The following is a 14,132-nucleotide window of genomic DNA, read 5'->3' on the forward strand; positions in this document are numbered from 1 at the left end:
CTTGTTACCCAGGTTGGAGTGCAATGGCACAATCTTGCCTACCAGGTTCAAGCGATTCTCCTGTCTCAGCCTCCCATGTAGCTGGGATTACAGGCATGCGCTACCATGCCCAGCTAATTTTGTATTTTTAGTAGAGGCAGCATTTTTCCATGTTGGTCAGGCTGGTCTTGAACTCCCGACCTCAGGCAATCCACCCACCTCGGCCTCCCAAAGTGCTGGGATTACAGGTGTGAGCCCCCACGCTCAGCTTCACTCCCTCCCCTCTTTCCATCTCCCCTCTTTCTCCCCTCACCTCCCCTTCCCTCCCCTCCCCTCTCCTCTCCTCTCCTTCTTCCTTACAGAGTATTGCTCTGTTACCCAGGCTGGAGTGCAGTGGCACAATTTTGGCTCACCACAACCTCCACCTCCTCGGTTCAAGAGATTCTCGTTCCTCAGCCTCCCGAGTAGCTGGGACTACAGGCGCACACCACCACACCTGGCTAATTTTTAATATTTTCAGTAGAGACGGGGTTTCACCATGTTGGCCAGGCTGGTCTTGAACTCCTGATACCAGGTGATCCACCCACTTTGGCCTCCCAAAGTGGTGGGTTTACAGGCATGAGCCACCATGCCCAGCCTTCTAGTCCTCATTTCTGTTAAAAACAAATCAAGTTAGAACTCAGTTGTTTGCAAAATCGACTTTAATCTTATACTTGGCCTGATTATTTGCATAAAGTGCAGCAAAAATAATTATTTCTACATAGGCCTTTTAGATTGACTTTGATGGAACTCTGTTCCACAAGGAATTTCAGATAAGACCTTTTAAAGCTCAGGCCAGCCATGAGTTTGTATCCTCAAATACCTGTGAGTTGGGTAAACTCCTCTCTTCTTGAGGTCCCAAGAGCATGTGTTTTCTGGGCCTGTTGGAAAGTGACATTCTTTACTCATTGCAGGTTAGGAACCCTGTATGGAGACTGTGTAGACAAGGGCATGAAGCCAGTTTTACCAAAGGACTTTTATTGGCTCTGCAAGTTGAGATTGACTCCTTAAAGGGAAGCATACCATTCCAGTCAAAGCCTTGGTAAAACAACCAGTTTCTCCAATTGCATCCTGTTGCAAAAGAAAATGGATTCTTACTGCACTGATACAAACAACTATATTGTCATAAGTTATGAATACTCATAGATAGTTTCTAAATTCTAGAGGAACCAGGCAGAGAGAAACAAACATGCTCCAAATTTTGTTCACAGGAGTATACCCTACTCAATTTTTTTTTTTTTTGAGACGGAGTCTCGCTTTGTGGCCCAGGTGGGAGTGCAGTGGCGTGATCTCAGCTCACTGCAAGCTCCGCCTCCCGGGTTCATGCCATTCTCCTGCCTCAGCCTCCCGAGTAGCTGGGACTACAGGCGCCTGCCACCACACCCTGATAATTTTTTGTATTTTTAGTAGAGACACGGTTTCACCGTGTTAGCCAGGATGGTCTCGATCTCCTGACCTCGTGATCCACCCGCCTTGGCCTCCCAAAGTGCTGGGACTACAGGCGTGAGCCACCGCGCCTGGCCACCCTACTCAATTATTAAAGGCTGTAAATAATTCCTAATAATTTTCCTCGACTCTGAAAAATGAAACAAGGATCAGCAATGTTCCAAGCAAAAGTCCAGAAGATTACTTCAGTTTTCTATTAGTTCAGTCCATTCAGTTAACTCTTGTTTTGCTTGATATTCATGAACATTTCAGCTCTTCATGAGTCCTGTACATTTTTCCTGTGTGCCAATGTCACAATCTCCAAAGTTATCAGAAACTGATATTTGAGCATACTTGTCAGAGTCCTATAGCTTATTTTTTTTTTTAATTTTGCTTTAAGTTCTTGGATACATGTGCAGAACATGCAGGTTTGTTACATAGGTATACATGTGCCATGGTGGTTTGCTACACCTATCAACCTGTCATCTAGGTTTTTTGTTTTTTGTTGTGTGTGTGTGTGTGTGTGTGTGTGTGTGAGAGAGAGAGAGAGAGAGAGACGGAATTTCGCTCTTGTTGCCCATGCTGGAGTGCAATGGCATGTGATCTTGGCTCACCACAAGCTCCACCTCCCGGGTTCAAGTGATTCTCCTGCCTCAGCCTCCCAAGTAGCTGGGATTCCAGGCATGTGCCACCATACCCGGCTAATTTTGTACTTTTAGTAGAGACGGGGTTTCTCCATGTTGGTCAGCCTGGTCATGAACTCCTGACCTCAGGTGATCTGCTCGCCTCGGCCCCCCAAAGTGCAGGGATTACAGGCGTGAGCCACCGTACCCAGCCTATCATCTAGGTTTTAAGCCCCACATGCATTAGGTATTTGTCCTAATGCTCTCCCTCCCCTTGTCCCCCACTCCCTGACAGGCCTTAGTGTGTGATGTTCCCCTCCCTGTGTCCATGTGTTCTCATTGTTCAACTCTCACTTATGAGTAAGAACATGTGGTGTTTGGTTTTCTGTTCCTGTGTTAGTTTGCTGACAATGATGGTTTCCAGCTTCATCCATGTCCCTGGAGAGGACATGAACCCATTCTTTTTATGGCTGCAGAGTCCTGTAGCTTATGAAAAGGATCAAAACAAGACAACAATTGTCTGTGAATAACAAAATGTCCAGGGTAGTTACAGTTAGAAACACAATTGACAAAGAACTTTGGTTATCTCTGTGGTTTACAATAACTTAACAACCTTAATTATGACTGATAGCATATACTTTAGACATTAGAATTTTAGAAATCCCACACAATTTTGGAACATACATTAGTATTATTCACCAGAATATAACCTAAAGAAGATTGGACACCATTTTGGCAATCCCATGTAACTAAACTTGTCAAATAATTCTGTTTACCTCTCTTTTGGATACTGCAGGGGCCCTCTGTAGCATCCAAAAGCCAGCCATCAGGAAAGGCAATTTTGTAATGGAAGTTTAATTTCTGGAAGCCTGTTAAATATGTTAGAGGTTTAAAACACTTGATGTTATGAAATAGAATTCCAAATTACCACAAGTTATTTATTTTGCTAAAATGACTCAGAAATTTAAAAGAGCAAAAACCTTTTATAACCCTTTACAAATTTTGTTAAAGAGCAGATTAGTGCCTTATGAGTGTCTTGTTGTGCTTTTATTTCAATGCTCAACTTACAGAAAAACCATATAACACCCTTTTGAATTTAGTCAATATGTTCATACTTCACACATAGAATTTCTGGGTTTTTTTGTTTCGTTTTGTTTTGTTTTGTTTTGTTTGGAGACAGTCTCACTCTGTCGCCCAGGCTGGAGTGCGGTGGTGTGATCTCAGCTCACTGCAACCTCCACCTTCTGGGTTCAAGCAATCCTCCCACCTCAGCCTCTCGAGTAGCTGGGATTACAGGCGTGCACCACCACACCCGGATAATTTTTGTATTTTAGTAGAGATGGGGTTTTGCCATGTTGGCCAGACTGGTCTCGAACTCCTGACCTCAGGTGATCTGCCTGCCTCAGTCTCCCAAATTGCTGGGATTACAGGCATGAGCCACTGCACCCAGCCAATTTTAATTTTTATTAATTAATTATTATTATTATTATTATTTTGAGACAGAGTCTCATTATGTTGACCAGGCTGTTCTCAAACTCCTGGGCTCAAGTGATCCTCCTGCCTCAACCTCCCAAAGTGCTGGGATTGTAGGCATGAGCCACTGTGCCTAGTCTTCATTACTTCTTGAAGCATGGTTTCCTTAGTTATTTGAACATATTTATAATAAGTGCTTTGAAATCTTTTCCATTAAATCAAATGTCTGGGCTCTCTCACGGGCAGTTTTTGTTGCCTACTTTTTTGCTCCTGTGTATATGTCACGCTTTCTTTTTTCTTTGCAAATCTTAATAATTTTTTTGGCCTAAAACTGGATATGTAAAATAATATATTAGGCTGGGCATGGTGGCTCACACCTGTAATCCCAGCACTTTGGGAGGCCACGGTGGACAGATCACCTGAGGTCAGGAGTTAAAAACCAGCCTGGCCAACAAGGGGAAACCTCATCTCTACTAAAAATACAAAAATTATCCAGGCGTGGTGGCGCACCTGTAATCCCAGCTACTCGGGAAGCTGAGGCAAGAGAATCACTGAAATCCAGGAGGCTGAGGTTGCAGTGAGCTGAGATTGCATCACTGCACTCCAACTTGGGCAACAGAGTGAGACTTCATCTCAAAATAATGATAATAATATATTAGCAACTCTAATTCCTCTTTCCTCTCTGTAGGGCTTGTTTCTGTTGTTTTTTGCTTGTTTGCTTAGTGACTTGACTAGATTATTTTAGTGAAGTCTATTTCCCCCATATTGTGAAGTCTTTGGTGTCATTCTTCAGAAGATGTAGCCTTGAGTGTACCTGTAGTCACAGTAAGATAATAGTGGTTTTAGCAGGGCTCTCTTTGTCTCTTTCCCCACACCCAGCTGTTAAGCTCCACTAACTGCAAGCTGATTGCTCTATTATTTTTGACAATGTCCTGAGGCATAAATTCCTCCACAGTCTGATTCAATTAATTTCTGGCAGGGATGGTTTTTGAGGCAAGTCTTTGAGTTTTGTTCTGACCTCAAGAGTGCTCTTCTTAGGATCTTTCCCCTATTTTATATCTTTAAATATAAAAGGCACTGGCTTTTAATATTTAACTTAACCACTCAATCAGTTAAGTTCCCTCTGGTGATCTAGCTGGCTTATGGCTTAACTTGTTGCTCTTAAGAGAAACTAGAGTTGACCCTTGAAGAACCAGTGTCTCTAAGGATTAGAGACACTGACCCCTCTGCAGAGTCAAAACCGCATGTATACTTTTTTATTCCCTCTCCCCCGCCCCGCAAAAAAAAAAAAAAAAAAAAAAAGCAGAATGAAAAAAACAAAGAACTGGGTGCGGTGGCTCCTGCTTGTAATCCCAGCACTTTGGGAGGGCAAGGTGGGTGGATCACGAGGTCAGGAGTTCCAGACCAGCCTGGCCAACATAGTGAAACCCTGTCTCTACTAAAAATACAAAAATTAGCCAGGCATGGTGGCGCATGCCTGTAGTCCCACTTACTCGGGAGGCTGAAGCACGAGAATTGCTTGAACCCAGGAGGCAGAGGTTGTGGTGAGCTGAGATCACGCCACTGCACTCTAGCCTGGGCAACAGAGTGAGACCCCTTTTCAAAAAAAAAAAAAGCAAACAAAACACAAACAAACAAAGAAAAAGGCTGTGCGTGGTGGCCCGTGCCTATAATCCCAGCACTTTGGGAGGCTGAGGCAGGTGCACTGCCTGATCTCAGGAGTTTGAGTCCAGCCTGGGCAACAAGGCACGACTCCGTCTCTATGAAAATACAAAATTAGCTCAGCATGGTGGCATGCACCTGTGGTCCCAACTACTCAGGAGACTGAGGCAGGAAGATTGCTTGAGCCAAGGAGGTCAAGGCTGCAGTGAGCCATGTTTCCATTGCTGCACTCCAGCCTGGGTGACAGAGTGAGACCCTGTCTCTCTTTTTTTTTTTTTTTTTGAGATGGCGTTTCACTCTTATTGCCCAGGCTAGAGTGCAATGGCACGATCTTGGGTCACCACAACCTCGGCCTCCCGGGTTCAAGTGATTCTCCTGCCTCAGCCTCCCAAGTAGCTGGAATTAGAGGCATGCGTCACAATGCCTGGCTAATTTTGTACTTTTAATAGAGGCAGGGTTTCTCCGTGTTGGTCAGGCTGGTCTTAAACTCCTGACCTCAGGTGATCTACCCGCCTCAGCTTCCCAAAGTGCTGGGATTACAGGTGTGAGCCACCGCGCCCGGTGAGACCCTATCTCAATTTTAAAAAAGCAAAGAAAAAGAAAAAAAATTTTTGACTCCCCAAAAACTTAACTACTAATAGCTTCCTATTGACTGGAAGCCTTACGAATTACATAGTAGAAGACTAACATGTATTTTTTATGTTTTATATATATACTATATTGTTAAAATTAAGTAAGCTAGAGAAAAGAAAATGCTATTAAGAAAATCATGGGGTAGGCATGGTAGTTCATGCCTGTAATCCCAACACTTTGGGAGGTCAAGGTTGGAGGATCGCTCAAGCCCAGGAGTTAGAGACCAGCCTAGGCAACATAGCAAGACCCCATCTCTATAAATAATTTAAAAATTTGCCAGGCATGGTGTCATGCGCCTGTAGTCCCAGCTACTCTGAAGGCTGAAGCAGGAGGACCACTTGAGTCCAGGAGTTCAAGGCTGCAGTAGGATATGTTGGTGCCACCAAGCTCCAGCCTGTGTGACAGATAAAATCATAAGGGCTGGGCGTGGTGGTACTGTGGCAGGCCAGGTCTTACTAATGCAGGCCTCCATAGCAACTGTTTCAGTACTGATTGAGTAGTTAAGTTAAATATTAAAAGCCAGTGCCTTTATACAAAGGCTGGAACGTAAGAAAAGCCCACCAAGAGTTTTGCCTAGGCCTTTCCTGGGCCTTAAAGCATGACAAAATAACGAAGGAATTCTTAACAAGACCCATTTAGGATTCAATAAATTTTACTGTGGGTCTGAAGAAACTCTCCAGGCCTCCACAAACAAGTTTACTGGGGGTCTGAAGGAACTCCCCAAACCTCCATGATTTAGCAGGAAACAAGATAAGGGTAATCACCCCAGCACCTGGACCCATTTAGATTAAGTAAATTTACTGAGGCTCCAGAGGAAGGTCTTCAGGACTCAGACCTTAGTTATAGATTAAAAGAAGTTAACCAGCTCGGCACAGTGGCTCATGCCTGTAATCCCAGCACTTTGGGAGGCTGAGATGGGCGAATCATTTGAGGTCAGGAGTTCGAGACCAGCCTGACCAACATGGCAAAACCCCGTCTCTACTAAAAATACAAAACAAATTAGCTGGGCATGGTGGCACATGCCTGTAGTCCCAGCTGCTCGGGAGGCTGAGGCAGGAGAATTCCTTGAACCCAGGAGGTGGAGGTTGCAGTGAGCCAAGATCGTGCCACTGCACTCCAGCCTGGGCGACAGAGTGAAACTGTGTCTCAAAAAATATATATATAAAGAAGTTAATCACGTATGTCTTTAGAGGAATGCACACTTACACATAGACATATAGCTCAGAAGGTATATAAGCTCTGGAAAACTTTATAATTTTGAGTTTGTCTGGTGATAATTTCCAGACCATCTCCCTGTAACCGGTTGCACAAATAAAAACTCTATTCCTCCCCAGTTCATCTGCATCTCATTACTGGGCCACAAGAAATAGCAGCCCAACCCTCAGTTTGGTCTAGGAACAACAGTACATGTTTATAATCCCAGCTATTCAAGAGGCTAAGGCAGGAGGATTGTTTGAGCCCAGAAGTTTGACACCAGCTTTGGTAACATAGTGAGACCCTGTCTCTTAAACAAACATAAACATAGATATGTGTGTGTGCGTGTGTGTGTGCAGGTGTGTGTGTGTGTGTGTGCGTATAATTAAAAAGATAAAAATATAAAAGAGACAGGAATAATACAAGGTGGTCACAGGAGAATAAAAATTTCAGGCAGGCTGGGCATGGTGGCTGACACCTGTAATCCCAGCACTTTGGGAGTCCAAGGCAGACGGATCACAGGGTCAGGGGTTCAAGACCAGCCTGGCCAAGATGGTGAAACCCTGTCTCTACTAAAAAAAAAAATACAAAAATACAAAAATTAGCCGGGTGTGGTGGTGGAAGCCTGTAATCCCAGCTACTCGGGAGGCTGAGGCAGGGAATTGCTTGAACCTGGGAGGCAGAGGTTGCAGTGAGCCAAGATTGCGCCACTGCACTCCAGCCTGAGTGACAGAGGGAGACTCCGTCTCAAAAAAAAAAAAAAAAAAATTCCAGGCAGCATTTTCACATGACTAGGGGCTGTGGGCTGATAAGACCCTAAAAAACAGGGTGTGGGCCAAACTGGCTAAGACAGACTGGGCCCAACATGGTGCTGGGTTCAACCTAGGTTTCACCTAGGACCTCATTACATGCTCATTAACATGCTAAACACACACCCACCAGCGCTGGGACAGTTCTGAGAACACCCGTATTTCGTATACAAATGTGTAGCGCCACATTTCTGAGAAATCTCCACCTTTTTTTGAAATTTTCATGAATATTGCACCCCTTGGTTAAAGAAATCCGTAAAGGTAGCAGTCCCCAACTTGGTTACTCAAGACTCCGTGTGAATACGCCTGTATTCCCCTTGCTTGAGCAGGTACATCTCCTTAGTTTCACTATTTTCTGACTCATCCTAGAATTCAACGATGTCAAGAGCCTGGACACTGGCTGGGGTCAAGGTCCCACCGCCATCTGGCGATCTCCTCCAGCCCACTGGTATCATAAGAAAGTGAAAATATATTTACTATTCACCAAGCGCAAGTGGATCATCACAAAGATCTTCATCCATATCTTCACATTGAGTAGGCTGAGGAGGAAGAGGAGGAAGAAGAGGGGTTGATCTTGCTGTCTTAGGGTGGCAGAGGCAGAAGAAAATCCACATATAGCTGGGCACAGTGGCTTACGCCTGTAATCTCAGCACTTTGGGAAGCCAAGGTGGGCAGATCACAAGGTCAGAAGATCAAGACCACCATGGCCCACACGGTGAAGCCCCGTCTCTACTAAAAATACAAAAAAAATTAGTCGGGCATGGTGGTGTGCACCTGTAATCCCAGCTACTTGGGAAGCTAAGGCAGGAGAATCGCTTGAACTCGGGAGGTGGAGGTTACAATGAGCCAAGATTGCGCCACTGCACTCTAGCCTGGGTGACAGAGCGAGACTCCAGCTCAAAAAAAAAAAAAAAAAATCCACATATAAGTGGACTTGTGCAGTTTAAATCCATGTTGTTCAAGGGCCAATTCTACCAGCCTTCTCTTATTTGTTTATCACCAAAATCTCCATTATTTTAGCGTGCGTCCATAGACTTGATCTTCCCTCCACTCTATTTCAAATAAAGTCAGTTTGTTTGTAGACACTGTCAGATCTTCACGTTCTTATGCACTGCCTCTCCCCCTAGGCAAAATTTCTGAGCCACTACTCTGGATGTTGGGCAGGGGTGGTAGCCATGATCTTCTCAGCTTGCCTTTCCTTGGCATAGAGCCTCTGCCCAATGAGTGAGCTGGGGTGAGGACAATCAGGGTTCCAGTATTCTTGGCCCACCATAGGTGGGGTGAAGCCTCTGTCCACTGTATTCCCTGATTGGGAGTTGAGGGGAGAGGCAGCCCTATCTTTTTGCTCACACCTGGGCAGACTGGAACTTCCATCAGACAGAGCTTAGTGGGAGTGTGGGGTGTGGATAGAGAGTAACTTACGGAGCAAGTTCCAGCCTCTCACTGTTCTTAACAAGTTTTTTTTTTTTTTGGACATGGAATCTCACTCTGTCGCCCAGGCTGGAGTGCAGTGGCACCATCTCGGCTCACTGCAACCTCCGTCTCCCGGGTTCAAGCGATTCTCCTGCCTTAGACTCCCGAGTAGCTGGGACTACAGGCATGTGCCACCATGCCCAGCTAATTTTTTTGTATTTTTAGTAGAGACAGGGTTTCGCCGTGTTAGCCAGGATGGTCTCGAACTCCTGACCTCAGGTGATCTGCTCGCCTCGGCCTCCCAAAGTGCTGGGATTACGGGCGTGAGCCACCACGCCCGCCCTTTTTTTTTTTTTTTTTTTTTTTTTGATACAGAGTCTCACTCTGTCACCCAGGCTGGAGTGCAGTGGTGTGATCTCAGCTCACTGCAACCTCCCTGTCCCAGGTTCAAGCGATTCTCCTGCCTCAGCCTCCCGAGTAGCTGGGACTATAGGCACGTGCCACTACGCTTAGCTAATTTTTTGTATTTTTTTTTAGTAGAGACGGGGTTTCACCGTGTTAGCCAAGCTGATCTCGAACTCCTGACCTCGTGACTCACCCGCCTCAGCCTCCCAAAGTGCTGGGATTACAGGCGTGAGCCACCGCGCCGGGTCATAAACTGCTTTCTTTTTCCTTGGAACTTTATCTGTGGGAGAATTTTGAGTCTTTGATTGAAGTGACTTTCCTCTAGAGAGAATTTGTATTTGCTTCTGCTTGGCCCCTGGGTGTGCCACCAACCCAGAAACCCTTTCGATTCTGTCGTTGGCATTTTCTTGGGCTACTCACGCAGCATATGTTCATTTGAGCACAAACTATGGGAGGACTGATTTCAAATTCTCAGGGGAGATTTTTTTTTCTTCCATCCAAGGTTAATACAGGCAAGCTTTCTTGCTGCTTCCTTCTGTGAAATGTGTTTTGTTTTTGTTTTATCAGTGCCTTTATACTAAGGTAGTAGGAGCCTCCAACCATATGCAGAAATCTCTCATTCTCTCTTTTTTTTTTTTTTGGAGATGGAGTTTCATTCTTGTTGCCCAGGCTGGAATGCAGTGGCACAACCTCGGCTCACCGCAACCTCTGCCTCCCAGGTTCACGCCATTCTCCTGCCTCAGCCTCCTGAGTAGCTGGGATTACAGGCATGCGCCATCATGCCCGGTTAACTTTGTATTTTTAGTAGAGATGGGGTTTTACCGTGTTGGTCAGGCTGGTCTTGAACTCCTGACCTCAGGTGATCTGCCTGCCTCGGCCTCCCAAAGTGCTGGGATTACAGGCATGAGCCACCACACCCGGCCAAGATTTATTTTCAAACTATTGTAATTAAGATGGCCTAGGGCCGACTCTGTGGCTCACGCCTATAATCCCAGCAGTTTGGGAGGCTGAGGTAGGCAGATCAGTTGAGGTTAGGAGTTTGAGACCAGCCTGGCCAACATGGCAAAACCCTGTCTTTTTTTGTTTTTGAGACGGAGTCTCGCTCTGTCGCCCAGGCTGGTGTGCAGTGGTGCGATCTCAGCTCACTGCAAGCTCCGCCTCCTGGGTTCACGCCATTCTCCTGTCTCAGCCTCCAGAGTAGCTGGGACTACAGGCGCCCGCCACCACACCCGGCTAATTTTTTGCATTTTTAGTAGAGACGGGGTTTCACTGTGTTAGCCAGGATGGTCTCTTATCTCCTGACCTCGTGATCCGCCCACCCCAGCCTCCCAAAATGCTGGGATTACAGGCATGAGCCACCGCGCCTGGCCTATTTTTTATTTTTTAAGGCTGGTCAGTGAAGCAGTGGGAGTGGAGAAGGTACAAAGAAATCTGTAACCGGTTGTGATCAATTAGTTGTAAACACCAATGCACTCAGACCAGCATATGGTGCTTTGACACACAGAACTCAAGGAGCCGCAAGATCTCTCTGACCTTGCCTGCTCACCACCATCTTTCCCAAAGTGAAGTTCCTTTATCGGCCTAAAATCCAGACCCACCAGAAGTAACAATTGTTTTTTTCTTCTCTTCTCTGTAAACCAAGAATGTAACCTCACCTGAAAAAACTCTTTCACAAAATAATGTACAAGTTCATCTCCGTTCCCCGATCCATTCATTCTTCCTAGTAGTCCCCTCAACAGAACTCCTCTTCTCCCTCCTCCCATAACCTGTTTTGCCAGTAGGGTATGTAAGCTTCACAACCACACTGGGAGGTGGGCAATCATTCTGTGGTTCTCCCCCAAGTACACTTTAATAACATTTATACGCCTTTTCTCCAATTAATCTACCTTTTGTGAGTTGATTTTTCAGCAAACCTTCAGAGGGCGAAGGGGAAGTTTCCCTTGGTCCCTACAAGCCGTATGCATGTTTGCAGGCGGGTAGAGGCTTCCACCTTCTGCAGGGGCCCCAAAGCCGGAACTGTACATTCCCAGCATCCCTTGCAGCTGATCGGGAACCTGTGACCAAGGATAAGCTGGGGAACCAACTCCCCTCAGACTTTGGTTTGAAGGCAAGTGAGGCCAACAAGGAAATAACAAGATCCTCAATCCTGGGGTGGCAGCGGACTCCAGCATCCAGGGCCAGTGGTGCTGGCCGTGCTGGCATGAGTGTTTGTCCTGCAGGGCCTGAGGAGGCTATGTCCTCACCAGACCAGCTCTACAGTGAGCTTTGCCCCTGTTCATGCTGTAGTTGCCTTGACCCAGCTTGTTTCCTGAGCCTGGTTATCCTGCCTTCCTGATAGTTCTGGGAGGTACCTGTGACGTTCCAATAAACTCCTTTTCTGTTTAGGTCTAGGGATGCTTTTTGTTGATTTCAACTGAAAAGCCTAACAATTCAGCCACAGACAAGGGCAGAGGTGGAGGCCTCAGTCCTACTTGTCCCAGTGTTACAGCCTAACAGATTCTTCTTGTCTGCTGCACAGATAAAGTCAATTCACTGAGACAGTGGTGTTGCAGCAGAGAAAGAGTTTATCATGAGTCAGCCAAGTGGAAGGATAGGAGATTTTTCTCAAATCCACCTCCCCAAGAACTTGGAAGTTAGGGTTTTTAAGAATAATGTGGTGTTGGGGGCTAGGGAAGGGGCGCTGCTGGCTGGGTATGAAATAATAGAAGTGTCCAAACTGTCTTCTCCGCACTGAGTCAGTTTCTGGGTGGGGGGTCACAGTGATACAGAAGAGCTGGGCTCCCAGGTAAACCCCACCCTTGATCCTGGAACTCTAGCCCTAAATGAAAACAGCTGACCCCGTTTTCCCACCCAAATGTTGCCTTTTTGGCCTGCTCCGCCCCATCCTGTGCCCATAAAAGACTTCAGCTGGCAGAGCAACACAAGCAGCTAAGTATTGAGGATACAAGCAGCTGAGTGGCGAGCAGAGAAGCATCTGAGCGTCGGAGACTACAGATAGACGCGGCTAACTTCAGACATTCAAGTGGCCTGATTCTTCCTGGATGCTGGATGGACAGAACCTGGGTGCTGAGCGGGTAGGGGCTGCCACCTTGACCCTCCGCTGAGCTGGTTGGTACTTGGCTGTTCCTGGATGGCAGAGCTGAAAAAGCATCGGTCGTAACACTCTTGGACGCTGCTGCGGGGCTGCACACAGCCTGCTCCCACCAGAAAGGAGTGACTGGCTGGTTCCGGCATTTGTTCGCTCCTTACTGCACTCACTCGCTCACGTGCCCCCTCCCACGAGGAGTGGTCAGCGGTGGGCTGAGTTAAAAGAGCCATTCCAGTTCCTGCCCGTGAGGGGGGTCAAGGGAACTATCCCATCTCATCAGGATGGGGTGAGTCAGCTCCTTGGTATAAGTCACAATCCAGGCGGCTTCCTTTGGTCTGCCCACATGCAAATGTCTGAAAAATATCTGAAAAAGACCAATCTTAGGTTTTGAAAATAGTGATGTTGTCTACAGAAGCAACTGGGGAAGTTACAGATCTTGTGAACTCTGGCTACATGACTCCTGAGCATCAGGGAATTACAGAAGAACGGCTGGTTATCATTTAACTATGCCTGCATTTTAGTGGAATTCATGCCCCTCCCATAATCCTATCATTGTGGCCTTTTATTAGTCTTACAAAGGTGGTTTTAGTCCCCAGAGGGGTCACTTCTGAGAAGGGACTGCTGTCATCCTTTTTCAACGTTAAACTATAAACTAAATTCCTCCCATAGTTAGCTTGGCCTAGGCCCAGCCAGATTTCTTTTTTTTTTTTTTTTTGAGACAGTCTTGCTCTGTTGTCCAGGTTGAAGTGCTGTGGCGTGATCTCGGCTCATTGCAACCTCTGCCTCCCAGGTTCCAAAAATGATTTTTGTGGAGAATGAGGTCTCGCTGTGTTGTGCAGGCTGGTTTTGAACTCCTGGGCTCAAGTGATCCTCCCACCTCTGCCTCCTAAAGTGCTGGGACTATAGGCGTTAGCCACCATGCCCAGCCTAGGTTTCAATTAGATTTAGATTGAAGTTAGTTTTGAAAACACACATTTTGAAAATTGTTGATAATTCCCTTCTTCTTTGCAAAACATTTAATTATTTGTTTATTTACAATAGATGAGACATACATATGGGAATGAGTGTATGGTGAAAATTCTCTCACCAGACCCCACATACCCAATTTCCCTTCCACAGAGGAAGCCACTGGTACCAGTTTCTGTGTCTTCTTCCAGAAACATAGGCCGTGCAAATACAAGCTCTATGAGTGTGTGTTTACATGTATCTTTGTATTTTTGCTTTATTCGCTTAACAATATATCTCAGAGCTTATTTCTTTCATAGCTGCACGTATGCATTTGGTTTTGTCATATAAATAAATATATATATATATATATATATATATATATTTTTTTTTTTTTTTTTTTTTTTTTAAGAGTCTCACTCTGTTGCCTAGGCTGGAGTGCAG

The sequence above is a fragment of the Homo sapiens genome, chromosome 17 (assembly GCF_000001405.40).
Source record: "Homo sapiens chromosome 17, GRCh38.p14 Primary Assembly".
NCBI classification, from domain to species: Eukaryota; Metazoa; Chordata; class Mammalia; order Primates; family Hominidae; genus Homo; species Homo sapiens.